Consider the following 14,225-nt stretch of genomic DNA (forward strand, 5'->3'; position numbering starts at 1 on the left):
TTCGAGGTACCCCATTTACTGGTTTTTGCTCCTTGGCTAATGTCATCATTACTCTTTCAGCCTACTGTTGGGATCATAATGGTGTTCCTTTAACAGCCTAGAACAGCACGCTGTGAATACTGAGCTGCAGAAAGCAGCTTTTGCTGTTCCCCTTCACTTCCTTCCTTACCCTGGGGAGAAACAAGAATTGTATTCCTTTGGCCAGGAAAAGCACCCAGCCCCATCCAGAGGGGAAAACCCTTTGTTTTAAAAACTAAGTACCAGCCTGCATACCTATCTAGTGAGGCAGCCCAAGCTTGGTTTGGGGGAGCCTCAGTAATAGGATGATGGAGCAGCTATTTTCTTCTCCTACACGTGCACCCCCATCTGTTTGAGATTTCCCTTCCAACTCCAGCTTGGCTGGCAGGCATGTCCCTAAGAAGCTGCAGGCCAAAATGGAGAGAAACTGACTCCCTCCTCCACACATCCTGACTTGCTGCCAATTGCCAGAAAAAGAGGGCAACATTTGGGCATTTACCAGAAGACAAGGATGTGCCTTTTCATTTGTCTTTTTATTTTACATTTAAAAAGTGGTTATTGCTCTAAGTGGATCAGAGGTAAGGACCTCTCCCCTAAGGAGCCTTGGCCTTGCAGCCCCATTCAGCAGGGATGGAAGTCACAAGACAATGAGTGGAGCCTCATGCCCTCCCATGAGGAAGCCCTTAGTATTGCTGACATCTGCCCTTTATCCTGTCTCTCCTCCCCAGTGCTGTCACACTTGGGCAAAGCAGAGTGGTGGCAGACCCAGCCTTGAGAGCTCTTGTAGACCGGAAGGAAGGGGCGGTCATTGGGTGATGGCTTCTGGCTCTCTGGCTTGGGGACCAATGCTCTTATCATTCATTTCAACAAATATTTACTGAGTACCAGGCTTGCACTAGGTGTGGTTCTCCCACACCCATCCTTGACCACCAATGGAAGATGCAGATGTCCACCTCTTCCCATGCAGGCATCTGGCAGCCGTAACTCGTCAGTCCTAGGGAAGAGTCTACCTTCCCTCATCAAGCACCATTTTTTTAAACCAGAAAGGGGCAGTGGAGAGAGAGACCTGTCACCTCACACCACTCAGGCTCTAAGGAAGGACATGAGGACCCTGGGTAACTTTCATGGAACCCTGGATGAGATGGCAAGATATGAAGACCCCAGAGGCCAGTGGTGATAGCCAGAGCTGCTCTTCCTGTCCGTGGTGAATGGCTCAGGCCTGCCTTCCAGCAGCTTCTACTCCAGAAGGGGTGTTTTGGTAGCCCCCAGAATGCCAGCTGTGATGTGACTTTTCAGTTGTCCAAGCTAGCATTTCTGAAACTCCAAGAGATACTTCCTAAATAAATTGGACCAGTACCTTCCAAACTGATGATCTTTCAGTCATAAGGGTCAAAGAAGATAGAGGATGCAGGCAACCAGCTCAGTCTTCGGGGGAATTTCTCTGCCCTCTAGAATGCAGCCTTCTGATTTTTGTTTTCCAAAAGAGACAAACCAGGTAACATCTTACACGCTTGCAAAAGTGTGCATCACACCACAAACATGTCCTTGATGGCTGGATCCAGAAAAGGCTTGATGGCAGCCATGATCCTGCCTGGCAGGCAGCCCCACAGCTTCTCTGATGTTCCTTGGTCTGAAAGACACAGCTTGAGTCAGTCCTTGTGCTTGTCATCTCCCAGGGCTTTGTGCATTTTCTCAAAGAGGAAGCCAGTCCAGGAGAGGCGAGGAGGCAGAAGGCTGTGTCTCATGCAGCTTTGCCTTTTCCAGAATGGGGCCAGGCCTTTTAGTTTTGTGGCTTATTTTTATTTTTTTGCAGAATTTGGGTTTGTAGTGCAGCCTCCTTCATCTGACTAGGACAAGGAGAAGAGAGAACTGTGCAGCTAGCTGTGCCTCCTCCCCACTGCTGCAGTTGTCCCTCTCCCTGTGCCCGTGGGCCTGGGGACCAGCTGAGAAGAAAAATGGAATCCTTCTCCCTGCAGACAGGCAGTCACGCTTCAATGATGTTCACTGAGGGCTTGTTTGGAAACTGGGAGGAAAAAAATGAGAGAAGCAGCCAGGCCTAATTGTGAATAGCCTTCTTGCAAGGCTGGAAACAGGACAGAAGAAGGAAGGGAGCAGCAGCAGGGCTGTAGCCTAAATAAGCCAAGCTCTTGTCCCTTGTGGAAAGAAAAGAGAAGCCCTGCCTGGATGTCTTGTCTTTTTGCCTTTTCAAACCCAGCCTTCAGCCTCACTCAACTGAATGGCCAAGACTGGGTCCTGGGCCCATGGCCCCTGGCACCCAGTCTACCCCCAGCAGTCATCCCTCTGAGTGCAGCCTCAGCCACTGACATTGTTGAGGTGCTTCTGGAGATGGGAGTTAATAAGAGGCTTCAGGAAAGTGCGCCAGAGAGAGGACAGTAAGCCAGAGGGTACAAGGAGATGGAGGGAAGAGATGTAGAGAGGGCCAGATGTTTGTTGGATAATCATCATCAGAACCATGAGATCCTCTCACATTCTCTACTGTCTGTCTTCTTAGCTGCTGAGGGCAAGCACTGAAAAGGTTTTCATATCTGTTTTACAGAAGAGGAAATGAAGGTACAGCGGTAAAGCACCTGCCCAAGGTCACAAGGCACAGCAGGAGCAGGAATGGGCCAGACACCCCACTCCTATTGTCCCGCGCCAACCAAGAATTCTGCCCTCCCCACTCACTGCTTTTTTTTTTTTTTCTTCAAATCACCACTGGCCCCTGGCACCCTGCAAAAGGAGAGGATCCAAAATCAACTTGCAGTGTCCCTGTGTCACACAGGCAGCAGCCAAGTCTGGCTCTGCCCAGCTGTCGCCATGCCAGTCCCCGAGCTGACCCCCTCTGCAGTCCAGGGATTACCAGAGCATGAGGCACAGGGTGGCCCACCCAGGCCCAGGTCTTGCCCTCACCTTGCTGCGGAGAAGCCCCCCGCCCTGGTGCTCTGGTGTGCTGGTTTCTGATGCACTCTTGGTTTTTTCCTTGTTGTTATTGGGTTCATTGTCCTTGATGATGTCATACTGGCGGCAGAAGAGGGCAATGACACCTGAGGGGGGACAAGTGAGCAGTCAGAGGCCAGAGCCTGGGTTCCTGCCTCCCCTGCTTCTTTCCCACTAGTGCTTGCCAATGGTCTCTCCAGATTGTACCTCACCTGTACTACTGCAGCACCCTCCCTCTGCCCTCTGGCTCCTGTTTTCACCTGTGCCCTCACCAACCACCCCTTCACTGCTGCTAGGCTGATCTTCCTACAATATGCGTCTGATCATACCTCCTCCTCTCCTTTCCTTTAAACCTCTGACAGTGGCCAGGCACGGTGGCTCACGCCTGTTAATTCCAGCACTTTGGTTTTGTTTTTTTGTTGTTTTGAGATGGAGTTTCGCTCTTGTTGCCCAGGCTGGAGTGCAATGGCGCGATCTCGGTTCACTGCAACCTCTGCCTCCCAGGTTCAAGTGATTCTCCTGCCTCAGCCTCCCGAGTAGCTGGGATTACAGGTATGCGCCACCACGTCCGGCTAATTTTGTATTTTTAGTAGAGACGGGGTTTCTCCATGTTGGTCAGGCTGGTCTCGAACTCCCGACCTCAGGTGATCCGCCCACATTGGCCTCCCAAAGTGCTGGGATTACAGGTATGAGCCACCATGCCCGGCAATCCCAGCACTTTGGGAGGCCAACATGGGTGGATCACGAGGTCAGGAAATAGAGACCAGCCTGGCCAACATGGTGAAACCCTGTCTACTAAAAATACAAAAATTAGCTGGGCGTGGTGGCAGGTGCCTATAATCCCAGCTACTCAGGAGGCTGAGGCAGGAGAATAGCTTGAACCTGGGAGGCAGAGGTTGCAGTGAGCTGAGATCAGGCCACTGCACTCCAGCCTGGGCAACAGAGAGAGACTCTGTCTCAAAGAAAAACAAACAAAAAAACCTCTGACAGCTCCTGTTTTCCTTGAGGGGAAAATAGAAACAATAATAGCATTTGTTGAGCTCGTGCCAGGCCCTGTGCTGTGCACTGACATATTCTATCTCACTTAATCCTCACAACTCTGTGAGGATACCTATTATTATAATTCCCAGGGTACAAGTGAGGACACTGATGCAGAGAGAGTTTCACTAACTTAACTCAAGGTCACACAGTGGTGGAACTAGGACATGAACTCCAGGGCCTGCAGTCTGTTAAATGTTTAGTTTTATCAAACTAATAATACATGAACAGAATGTTTTTTAAAAGTCAGACAGTATTAAGGCAGCCAACTCCAGTCCTTCTAGGTGTTTTCCCAATTTTACCTCTATATTTAGAATGTTATTTCTTGATCTATTTTAGAAGTCTGTTGACTTCCAAACATGGTAGATAAAGCATAACAACTTCCTCTACTTCCCTCCCTATTATCCTAACAAAATTACATCACAATTTTGGGTTAATTCGCTATGTTTATATTGTTATGATTATATAAATACTGTCTGTGCCAAATCTAATAACGCACCATAAGCAAACCTCCTCTTTTGTACAACCCTTTGTTTTTCCCTCATTTTTCCAAGTGCCTGTTTTTCTGTGTGCCTAAGGAGCATTTTTTTCCCAAATGCTTCTACAATACAGCCTGCCTTTCTCAACCACCATGGTAATAAAGCTTTAGCATGGTATTCAAATCCCTCAAAAGACTCCAGTCTGCAGCCTCACCATCCTTTACTCCCCCACGTTCTACCTTCTTTCTTGGATTGCAGCTGCCCTGAACCAGACTGAGCTTACTTTGTTTCTTGAACACACCATGCCCTGAACACTATTCCTCTTTTGGCTGCTTGGTGAACTCCTATTTATCCTTCAAAGCTCAATTCCCATGTTATCTCCTCTCTGTGTTTTTCCTGATTTCTAACCCACAGTTATTCCCTCTCCTCTGCTCTCCTACATGGTACTATCATAGCACTCATCACACTGGATTATAGTTTAAGTTCAGCCCAAGAAAATGAAAAAGAAAAAAGAAGAGTAAACGAAAAGAAAAAAGAAAAGTTTGGGCCTGGCTTCGCCCAGATAGTTCTTTGCAAGCAGAGGGGTCTTCTTAGTCATGATTGTAGCACTACTGTTTGGGCTGGAGTGATTGTTCAGTAAATGCTGGTTGAATTGAGTACAAAGATGAATGAAACTTGGCCTTTACCAGCCTGGACAACATAGCAAGACCCTATCTCTACAAAAAATAAAAAATTAGCCAGGCATGGTGGCACATGTCTGTAGTCTCAGCTACTCAGGAGGCTAAGGCATGAGGATCACTTGAGCCCAGGAGGTCAAGGCTGCAGTGAGCTATGATTGCACCACTGCACTCCAACCTGGGTCTCAAAAAACAAAACCTTTGTCTCAAAAAACAAAACAAACAAAAAAAAACTTGGTCTTCATTCTCAGGGAGCTCACAGACCACAGGTAAAGGAGAGACATGAGCCGAACGAACTAACACAAGGGCTAAAGAGAGGGTTAAAGAAGGGCTAAAGAGAGGAGTGAACAGTATGCGGTGGGGGTGTGGAAGCAGGAGGGCCATTCTAATGGATGGATTGAGGGAGTTTTCACGGTGGCTGTCTCACAGCCATGGTGGCTGGGTCTAGAAGGGTGAGTAGGTTAGGAGAATGTCCCCAGGCCAGGCAGTGACTTCCCCTGAGCTTCCCAGGCCTGGACCCCTGGAGGCACAGCACCCCAGAAGAAAAAAAGGCTGTGGCCATGACCAGAGGTAAAAGGCCTGTGGAAGTGTCCAGCCCCAAGAAGCTGAACCTCTTCTGAGGGAGGGCGAAGGCAAGTACTCATCTAATCCTATAAGGCAGCTAACAATATGCTGGTTTTTTGGTGAAGAGTGAGGTAGAGAAGGGGTCAGATCTGTTTCCCAGAACTGTCGTTGGCAGGACTTGGAGACTTTTCACCTTAGAGATGTCCAAACCCCTTACCCTTTTTTTCATGAGAGAAGGGGCTGGTCAGAGTCCTCCATTTCCCAGAATCTGAGGGAAGAAGAAGGTCTCGGAGGCCAGACTCACCTGCCCACATGAACAGGACCACGACGATGATCAGCACCTCGCCTGTCCGCAGCTGTTGGTTCCTCCCCATCTCTTTCATGGTTACCTCATCTGCAGGGAGAGAGACACTAGATCCAGCACTCCTTTCCTCCCTCAGCCACTCCTCTAGGGCCAAGCCCAAGACAACAGTGCTGATTTCTACAGGTGCCCACACATCTAACATACATTCTAGAATGCACTGATGGCTACTTGGGGTGGCAGTGATAGGACCAAGTCTAAAGGGAGTTTATATGCTCAGCGTCTTGTCAGGGACTAGCGTGAACCCTCTCTCAGGTACTGCTTTACTTGCCAGCAGGGGATAAGGGGGAGGAGACAGAGCTTTCCTCAAGCCACCCACTGGTCTGGTCCTGACCACCCCTCACCCCACCCCATTCCTCTTAACAGTGACCCGGGCCTGCCTTTGTTCTTGGAGGCCATCTTCTCAGCCTCACGCGGGGTCTTGAAGAGCACAGGCTCGCTGGCTGGGCTCTGGCCCTGAATGGAGATGGCCTGCACGTGGACTATGTACTCCGTATCCTCCTCCAGGTCCCAGAGGGCACATGAGCGGGTGGTGGTGTTCACCTCCTGGATGAAGCGCAGCATCCGCACATCCTTCTTCTGCAGACAAGCGCCGGTCACTGCTGTCAACACTCGGTGACCAGCCCCGCTCCTGCCCACCTCCCAGTGGTGACAAAGCCTTTACATACACAATCTTCATCATTCCATCACCTCCGCTATCAATATCTCCATTTTACAGGGAAGGAAACAGGTTCAGAGAGGTTGGGGAAGTTGCCCAAGGCCACACATCTAGTAAGCACTGGAGCTAGGTCCTAAATGCAGATGTCTCTGAGATCAAAACCTTAATTTCTGTGTTCCACTTGAAAGTTCCCAAACCCTCCCTCACTGACTGATTCTCTTCTAGAGAATTTTCAGACATATGTCTGAATGGGGCCCCAATTTTCAGACATATGTCCAAATTGCTGTTCATCTCCCTTGCCCCAAGTTCCTATTTCCTTTCTATTTCTCCATCACCACCACTGCCACACTCCTACCCCCATCTGCCACTACTGTCTTGATGTGTCCTTCCCTCCTAAGGACAGTGGAGCATTACCTGCTGGGAGATGGCAAATCCGATGACAACCTCATCCTCCAGAACATCCCAGCTCACCACTGCAGAGTTGGCCTTGAGGTGCCTGACGGTGACGTTCACTGGGGCTGAGGGACTGTCTGGGGGACGGGGAGGCACCTAAGCCTGAGCATCCCCTATTGTGAGGCCCAGACCCACTGTCTCATAAGTAAGAAGGGGAAACCTGGGGAAGGCCATGCAGGAGGGGAAGGAAGAAACTAAGGCCTCAAGTGGGGTCCAGTGACATGGCTCTCAGCTCTTCAGTGGGTTGAAGAACCAAGCCCAAGAGGCCCCAGGCTCCTCATGACTGGGACGGAAGCCCCTGCTGGCCACAGGCCGGCCCCATGAGGGGTCCAAGGCTCAAAGTGATGGGCCTGGGCCGGGGCCCTATCTAAGGGATGGGTGGTTAGAGTTGTGGAGAGAGTTATGTAGGGGACATAGGTGGACAGAAACTGAAGGTTAGCTGATGAAAAGCAGACAAAAGGACTCCCCAGTCCAGTGCTCTTTTGACAATACTGCCCTGTCCAATGAGTGACCTTGCGCGAAGGAGAAAGACCCAGAGATCGAGAAGTGTCAGGCTGGGGTGAGCCCTGGACTGGGAGTGAGGAGAACAGAAGTATCCTCAGAGCTGTGGTGGCCCAGGCAGAATAAAGCCTGCGGAAGAGTCTGTGTGAGCCTCTTATCCATGCTCTTCCAGCCCCAAGATGCAGGTGGGGAGGTGGCAGGGGAAGATGGGGTCACTCAGAGCAGGGCCCCTCCATGGCGAGTGGAGAGGAGAGAACAGGTAGGGGAAGAGGATGAATGAGGAATCACTCCAGAAGAGACAGGAGGGAAGTGGGGGTGAGAGTGATAGGGATAGTGGGGGTCAGTGAGGAAAACCGTCCAGGAGAGGGGCAGTGCAGTCACATAAGGCTCAGTATCTTCCAAGGGGCAGGTGCAGCACGGGGCAGAGCTGCGCCTGAGCAGCACCCCTCACCCCACAGAGAGTGAACTTGAGACCCAGGGGGCTGGGCCTGGGACCTGAGGGAGACAGAGCCAGACATGGAGGGGGAGGTGGAGAGACAGGACACAGACAGGTGGTGGCAGACACAGAACCAGAGGACAGAGAAGTGGGGCATCTGAGAAAGACAGCTGCGAGAGAGCGCTCCCCGAGCCACGGAGGGAGAGATGAGCCGGGCAGCGGCAGCCAGGAGGGACAAAGACAGAGTGGCAGGAGAGGCTGGGCAAGGACGGGCCGGCCCCATGGGGCAGGCCAGACACTGTACCAGATCAGGGGTGCCGGGGCCCACCCCACGCCCTGCGCCCTCAGGTGCCAGCCCCCATCCCCTTCACACGTGCTCCTGCACAGCGGGACCCCATCTGCCCCTGCAGAGTTGGCTTGCAGGGCTTTGAGAGGTCCTGGGGACACAGAGAGAGGCCCAGGTGGGGGAACTGGTGTCCTCAGCTGCTCCCTGGGTCAAAGAAGGGAGCTAGGGAAGCTGAGGCAAAGACCTGGGGTTAGGGGAATGGGATTAGGGGACTGGGGACCACAAGACCCTAGGAAACCCAGGGCTGAGGTGACAGGGGAGATTTGGAAACTGAAGGACAGGTCTGGGGGTCAAGGAGGTAGGAAGACGCTGGGGGCTGGGTTAGGGGAGCAGTGTTTGGGCCGAGACAGGAGTCCCTAGGGGGCAGAGAAAGGACCAGGGGACTCCCAGGTAGCTGGGCTCGAGAGGAGCCTGCCCCGGCGCCGGCCCCCCGCCCCGGGCCCCCTTACCCGCCTGCACCAGCGCGAAGCAGACGCAGCCCAGCCACAGGCGGAGCGCGGCGCGGGCGCGGGGCGGCCAGGCGCTCGGCGACCCGGGGTGTATGGTGGCTCCTCCGGCCGGCAGGCCCGGGGCGGCGCAGGGGGACGCGGCTCCGGCGCCCGGCGGCCGCTCGCGCTCGCGCTCCGGCCCCCGGCCCGGCCGGCCCGGCCGCTCCGGCCGCCCTGCGCCGCCCCGAGCCGCCTGCATGTCGGCTCCGCGGACAGCGACTCCCGCGCGGCGGCGGTGGCGGCGGCCGCGTCCACGTCGGGCGCCCGGGGGGCGGGGCGCCCCCGCTGCGGGGAGAGGTGCGGGGGCGGGGTGAGGACCGGAGGGCGCCCCCACTCCCGCCCCCGCTGCCTATTAGGTCCTCTGCCGGGGAGGAAGGGGCTTCGCGGACCCACGGCTCCCGCCCTCTCACCGAGCGGGAGCCCAGCGGGGTTCTCCGCGCCCCCGCCGCGGTCACTCTCTCTCCCGTGCACAGCCCTGACTTGGCTGCCGCTTTCTGCCCTTTCCCAGGGTAGAGAGAGGACAAGTGCCACCGAGATGCCCGTTTGTGCCCCCACCCCTAAGCGCGCCTCCCTTCCCTGGGCCTAGGGATCCCCTCATTCCACGGTAGACCCGAGGCCTTGCGGCTGGGGCAGACGGGAGCAGAGGGGAGAGATCACAGTAAGGCTGGGGTGAGCAGAGAGTGCTAAGTGGACACTAGGGCTCCGTGTTTCCAGTGGGGTTGGGAAGAGGCTGCTCTGTCTCACTGGAGAGTCCAGCTCTGTGACCCCAGGCCAGTCCTTTTCCTTCATTTTCATCCCCATAGTGAGGGCAGTAATGAGCGTCTACCAGGGGCCAGATACTATGCTGAGCTTTCTTTGCATTATGTGGCTTAATTCTCAGGGCAACCCTGTAAAGTCATACTCTGCACACTTTGCACAGGAGGAGCCTGCAGCTTGGACAGGCTACTTGACTTGTCCAGGGACCCGCAGCAGAGCCAGGATTTGAACACAGGCTGATCTGACTCCCAAAGCTGTGCTTAACTGAACTGTCTCCCCACCCAGAGTGACTTCACCCATCCGGAGATTCGTGAGACTCTAGAATTGGCCGGGGCCAGCTCCTCCCCAGCCAGAAAACAGTCTGCAGCAATCTCTAAGAGCATCTCTGAGAAGGGGAGTGGCTCCAGCCCCCTTCCCTCATCTCAGCCAGAGAAACAAGGTGGAGGAGAGAGGCATGGACCAGGGCTCAGGGCCTTTTGTCTCAGCAAGAACCCCTGAGCCCCCTCCCACGACTATCCGAAATTCCACTACTAGCGGGGCATTCCTTTGGGTCTTAAAGGTTTTCCAGAAGCCCTGGAAGGGCTAATTTTCTTTGGAAAGGAGACGTCTTGCAAAGTTCTGCCACAGAAACGTCTTCAGGGTCTTCCTCTCCATCCCCCTGGTTTTACATTAAGGAAGTGAGGTCTACCGATGGGAAGAGCTTGGTGCAGATTCACACAGTGGGTCAAGAGGAGCGATAGACAACCCTCCTCTCCTTATGCCCACCCAGGACTCCTTCGCTGGCCCTGTGTTCCTCCTTGGTCACCTTGGAAGGGGTGAGATGGAAGCGAGCTTAGGGGCTCTTGTTGAGCAGCAGAATTTTCCTGCCCATCCCCTCAGTGCCCCCAGACCTGCCCCACTCGGCAGGGTGACACTGCCCAGCCCTATCATTTCCCCCGCCACATACCTTGTCCTGGGAGAGCCTCAGCTGGGACCTCGACCCGTTTGGGAGAAGAGCCCCGGAGCCAGAGCACCTCTCTCTCTCTTTTCTCTTTGCTCTCTTTCTCTTTCTCTCCCCTTATTATCTTCTCTCTCTTTCTCCCCGCAGCTGCTGCCTGCCCCACCCCACCCGGCCCCGCCCCACCAGCTGCAGCTTAGCCCCTAGGGACCCCCCACCCCCCATCCATCAGACAGGAAGACAACCAGGAGGCCCGCAGGAGCAACTGGAGCCTCTTCAGGCCTCCAGCACAGGAACCAGCAGGAAGGAGAGGGTTCAGTTAGAGGACACAGAATCTACTCCCGTCCCTGCAGGGGAGAAAAGGAGGGAGGGTCCTGGTGGGGTCTTGGCCTCCAGTCCAGCGCTGGGGAAAGGGGAACCTTGGCGCCATCTGCTGGCCTCTTTGGGTAAAACCTAGATAGATGTAGGGCATTGGGAGGGAGGAGATGGCAGTGCCTGAGGGCTTGAGAGAGAAGGCGGCTGAAGGAGGGGGCTTGGAGGATTTGGAGAGTTGTGACTGTGGGGGTACAGCCTTCTCAGTCCTCATGATGCATGGGGTGCTTGGGCCTTAATTCTGGGGAAAGCCCTGGTGCCTGGAATCTGGCAGCCAGTGAGAGCTGGCTGGGAGGATTTAGTGGAGCCCTGGGTGAACTTGGGAGGGAGCTGTCAGAAGCAGCCACTGCAGGCCAGGGCGCTGGCTCACGCCTGTAATCCCAGCACTGTGGGAGTCCGAGGTGGGTGGATCACCTGAGGTCAGGAGTTCGAGACCAGCCTGGCCAACATGGTGAAACCCCGTCTCTACTAAAAATACAAAATTAGCCGGGCATGGTGGTGTGTGCCTGTAATCCCAGCTACTCTGGAGGCTGAGGCATGAGAATCATTTGAACCTGGGATGCAGAGGTTTCAGTGAGCTGAGCACACCACTGCATTCCAGCCTGGGTGACAGAGAAAGACTCCATCTCAAAAAAACCCAGCCACTTTATGTACCCCATCCCTTAGCGCAAGGCTTACGATGCAGTTGGGGCTCATTAAATGATTGTTGACTGTATGGAAAAAAAATCATTCTTCCATCATATGTTTATTGAGCACCTATTATGGACCAGGCCCTGTGTAATATTCTGGAAACACAGCAGTGAAAGAATGAGTGAAACCATGAGGACCTGGGTAGGGACTAAGGGTGCGCCTCTGTCCTCCCAAGCTGCACTCACTGGGCTTCATTTGGAGGACTCCACAGAGACCCCCTTGAGGGCTGGCCGGTCACTTACACATTGACACCTAATGGGGTCACCAGCATTTGGACCCTCCTGCGTGTCCAGAGTCTCAGCACCTAACTCAGGCTGCAGGTGCCCAAGCCAGCCCCGGGTACCCATTTAGAATAGGAAGTTTCCTTTTTATAGCCTAGGATGGTCATGGCCCCAGTCAAGGATGGTCACTAGACACCCCTCACCCGCCCTGCAAATCACAGGAAGAATCAGGAGGTCAGGAGTTGCTTTGGGGATATAATAATTGAGCACCTACTTTATCCATGTTATTGTTTTATTTTATTTTGAGACGGAGTTTCATTCTTTTGCCCAGGCTGGAGTGCAGTGGCGTGATCTTGGCTTGCTGCAATCTCTGCTCCCCAGGTTCAAGTGATTGTCCTGCCTCAGCCTCCTGAGTAGCTGGGACTACAGGTGCCCACCACCATGCCTGGCTAATTTTTTTATTTTTAGTAGAGACGGGGTTTCATCATGTTGGCCAGGCTGGTCTCGAACTCCTGATCTCAGGTGATCCACCCACCTCAGCCTCCTAAAGTGCTGGGATTACAGGCGTGAGCCACCGCGCCCGGACTTTATCCATGTTATTTTGAGTCTTAGGCTGGTATGTGTCATTAACTTCCATTCCATATCAGGAAGCTGAGGATCAGAGAGGTAAGGGGACTTGCCCTGTGTCACACAGCCAGTGAACTATAGAGACATGTCTCAAATTAAATTATGCGGCTGCAAGTTGAGGGCTTGATCCAGTCTGCCTACCGTATCCCCTCACCTCTAAGGACCTCTGAGGACAAGGATCCAGGGCTCAGGGCTCACCAGAGGACATCACATCAATCTCCTTCCCTGAAGGGCTCAAGGGGACTTATTGCTCACAGAGGCAGTTGCTAATCCCAGGGCCAAGACAAGGGACCCCCTACTCACCCAACACTTTTCCCGTGCTGACACATTATGTACATAAGGGAAGACTCTTTGAATCCTCAGAGGAGTTGGAATTATACCCATTTTACAGATGAGGAAACTGAGGCTTGAAGAGAAGAAGGGGCTTGCCATGGGTCATACAGCTGGGAGACACTGATCTAGCCTCTCTAATCCTCAAAATCCCCATCATGGCAATGATGAAGTCAGGCCAGTTTAGTATTTCCTGAGTGCTGGTGGTGCTGAGGACATAGTGATGAACCAGACTGGTCCTAGTCCTTAGGGAGTTCTCATGGCCGGGGAAGAGGAGAGAGATGCTCTTAAAATACAAAGAGGGGACTGCCTTCTGGAATAGGAGGCACCTGGGGCCTACAGGGACAGAAAAGGTAATTAACTTGAGAGGAAAGCAGGAAGGGCTTCTGGGAAGAGGTGATGCTTGAGCTTAATAAGTACTGACAGTCAGGTGGAAGTTAGCCAAGTGAGAGGAAAGAAACAGAGGGAAAGAGGAATCATTAGCCCTGAGGTCTGGAAAAGTGGAGTGTTTCTGTGGAGGGAAAGCAGGAGAGGCAGAATGTTTATGTGGGCGTTTGCTGTAGGCTCTGAGCTGTGACATTGGGAGCAGGAAAAGTAGAACTAGATTGGAAAGATTGTTCTGAGCTTGCAAGAGAAGCTGGGGCTAGGAAGGGCTTTATTTATTCAACAAACATTTATTGAGCACCTACTAACTGCCAGCAGCATCACAGCTGTGACCAAGACAACAGGGTCCCTGCCCCATGTGAATCTCATATTCCAGGGGGAGAGAAAAGCAATAAACAAGTGAGCTGATGACCAAATGAAATATCTTCAGAGACCGAGAGTGGCTATGAAAACAATGAAGTCATGTGGTGGAGAGTGGCTGGGTGGGGCGACGTTACATGGTGTGGGCTGAGGGGGAGTCACCTGAACTGACACCTGAAGGCAAAGGAGGCAGCAGCACACAGCACAGGAAGGGAGCTCCAGCCCCAGAAGAGCAAGTACCAAGGCCCTGGGGCAGGAGCAAGCTTGCATGTTGGGGAAACAGAAAGAAGCCAGTGAGCCTGGAGCTTTATAAGCAAGAAGGAGGCAGTGAGGGCAGGTGGGATTGGATAACACATGCCTCCAGGTGTGGAAGGGAGGTTAGGTTGATCCCACTCACAATGGGAAGCTTCGAGGGGAGATGAGATGGGATGTGATTTGCATTTTAAAAGGCTCACTTTGCCCGCTCCAGTGTGCAGGCTGGATGGCAGAGAACAGGAGTGGGGGGCCAGGTGCCCTGTGAGGAAGCAAGGAGGGTGCTGCGGTCTCACGGCCAGAAAGGATGCAGTGTTGGCCTGGGTGGTGGCAGGGGACA

At 53.4% G+C, this 14,225-nt stretch overlaps 1 protein-coding gene across 5 annotated transcripts, besides 2 other annotated features; it reads right to left on the reverse strand.

The window, feature by feature from the left end:
* Positions 1 to 532: 532 nt before the first annotated feature.
* Positions 533 to 10,749, reverse strand: FNDC5 (fibronectin type III domain containing 5). Of its 5 annotated transcripts, none has more exons than NM_001441683.1 (6): positions 8,918 to 9,177; positions 7,147 to 7,262; positions 6,455 to 6,653; positions 6,018 to 6,107; positions 2,929 to 3,062; positions 533 to 2,564 (listed from the first exon to the last, which is right to left on the reverse strand). In NM_001441683.1, exons 1-6 carry the CDS (start codon positions 9,153 to 9,155, stop codon positions 2,559 to 2,561), a joined length of 783 nt encoding a protein of 260 aa, NP_001428612.1. In that variant the 5' UTR covers positions 9,156 to 9,177; the 3' UTR covers positions 533 to 2,558.
* Positions 6,015 to 6,516: an enhancer, noted in NCBI's record as "H3K4me1 hESC enhancer chr1:33333351-33333852 (GRCh37/hg19 assembly coordinates)". NCBI's record gives its function as "activates a minimal SCP1, AML or CMV promoter by ChIP-STARR-seq in primed H9 embryonic stem cells {active_cell/tissue: H9 hESC(primed)}" and the evidence as "EXISTENCE:reporter gene assay evidence [ECO:0000049][PMID:30033119]".
* Positions 10,945 to 11,801: an enhancer, noted in NCBI's record as "H3K4me1 hESC enhancer chr1:33338281-33339137 (GRCh37/hg19 assembly coordinates)". NCBI's record gives its function as "activates a minimal SCP1, AML or CMV promoter by ChIP-STARR-seq in primed H9 embryonic stem cells {active_cell/tissue: H9 hESC(primed)}" and the evidence as "EXISTENCE:reporter gene assay evidence [ECO:0000049][PMID:30033119]".

Source organism: Homo sapiens, chromosome 1, assembly GCF_000001405.40.
Source record: "Homo sapiens chromosome 1, GRCh38.p14 Primary Assembly".
Lineage (NCBI taxonomy): Eukaryota > Metazoa > Chordata > Mammalia > Primates > Hominidae > Homo > Homo sapiens.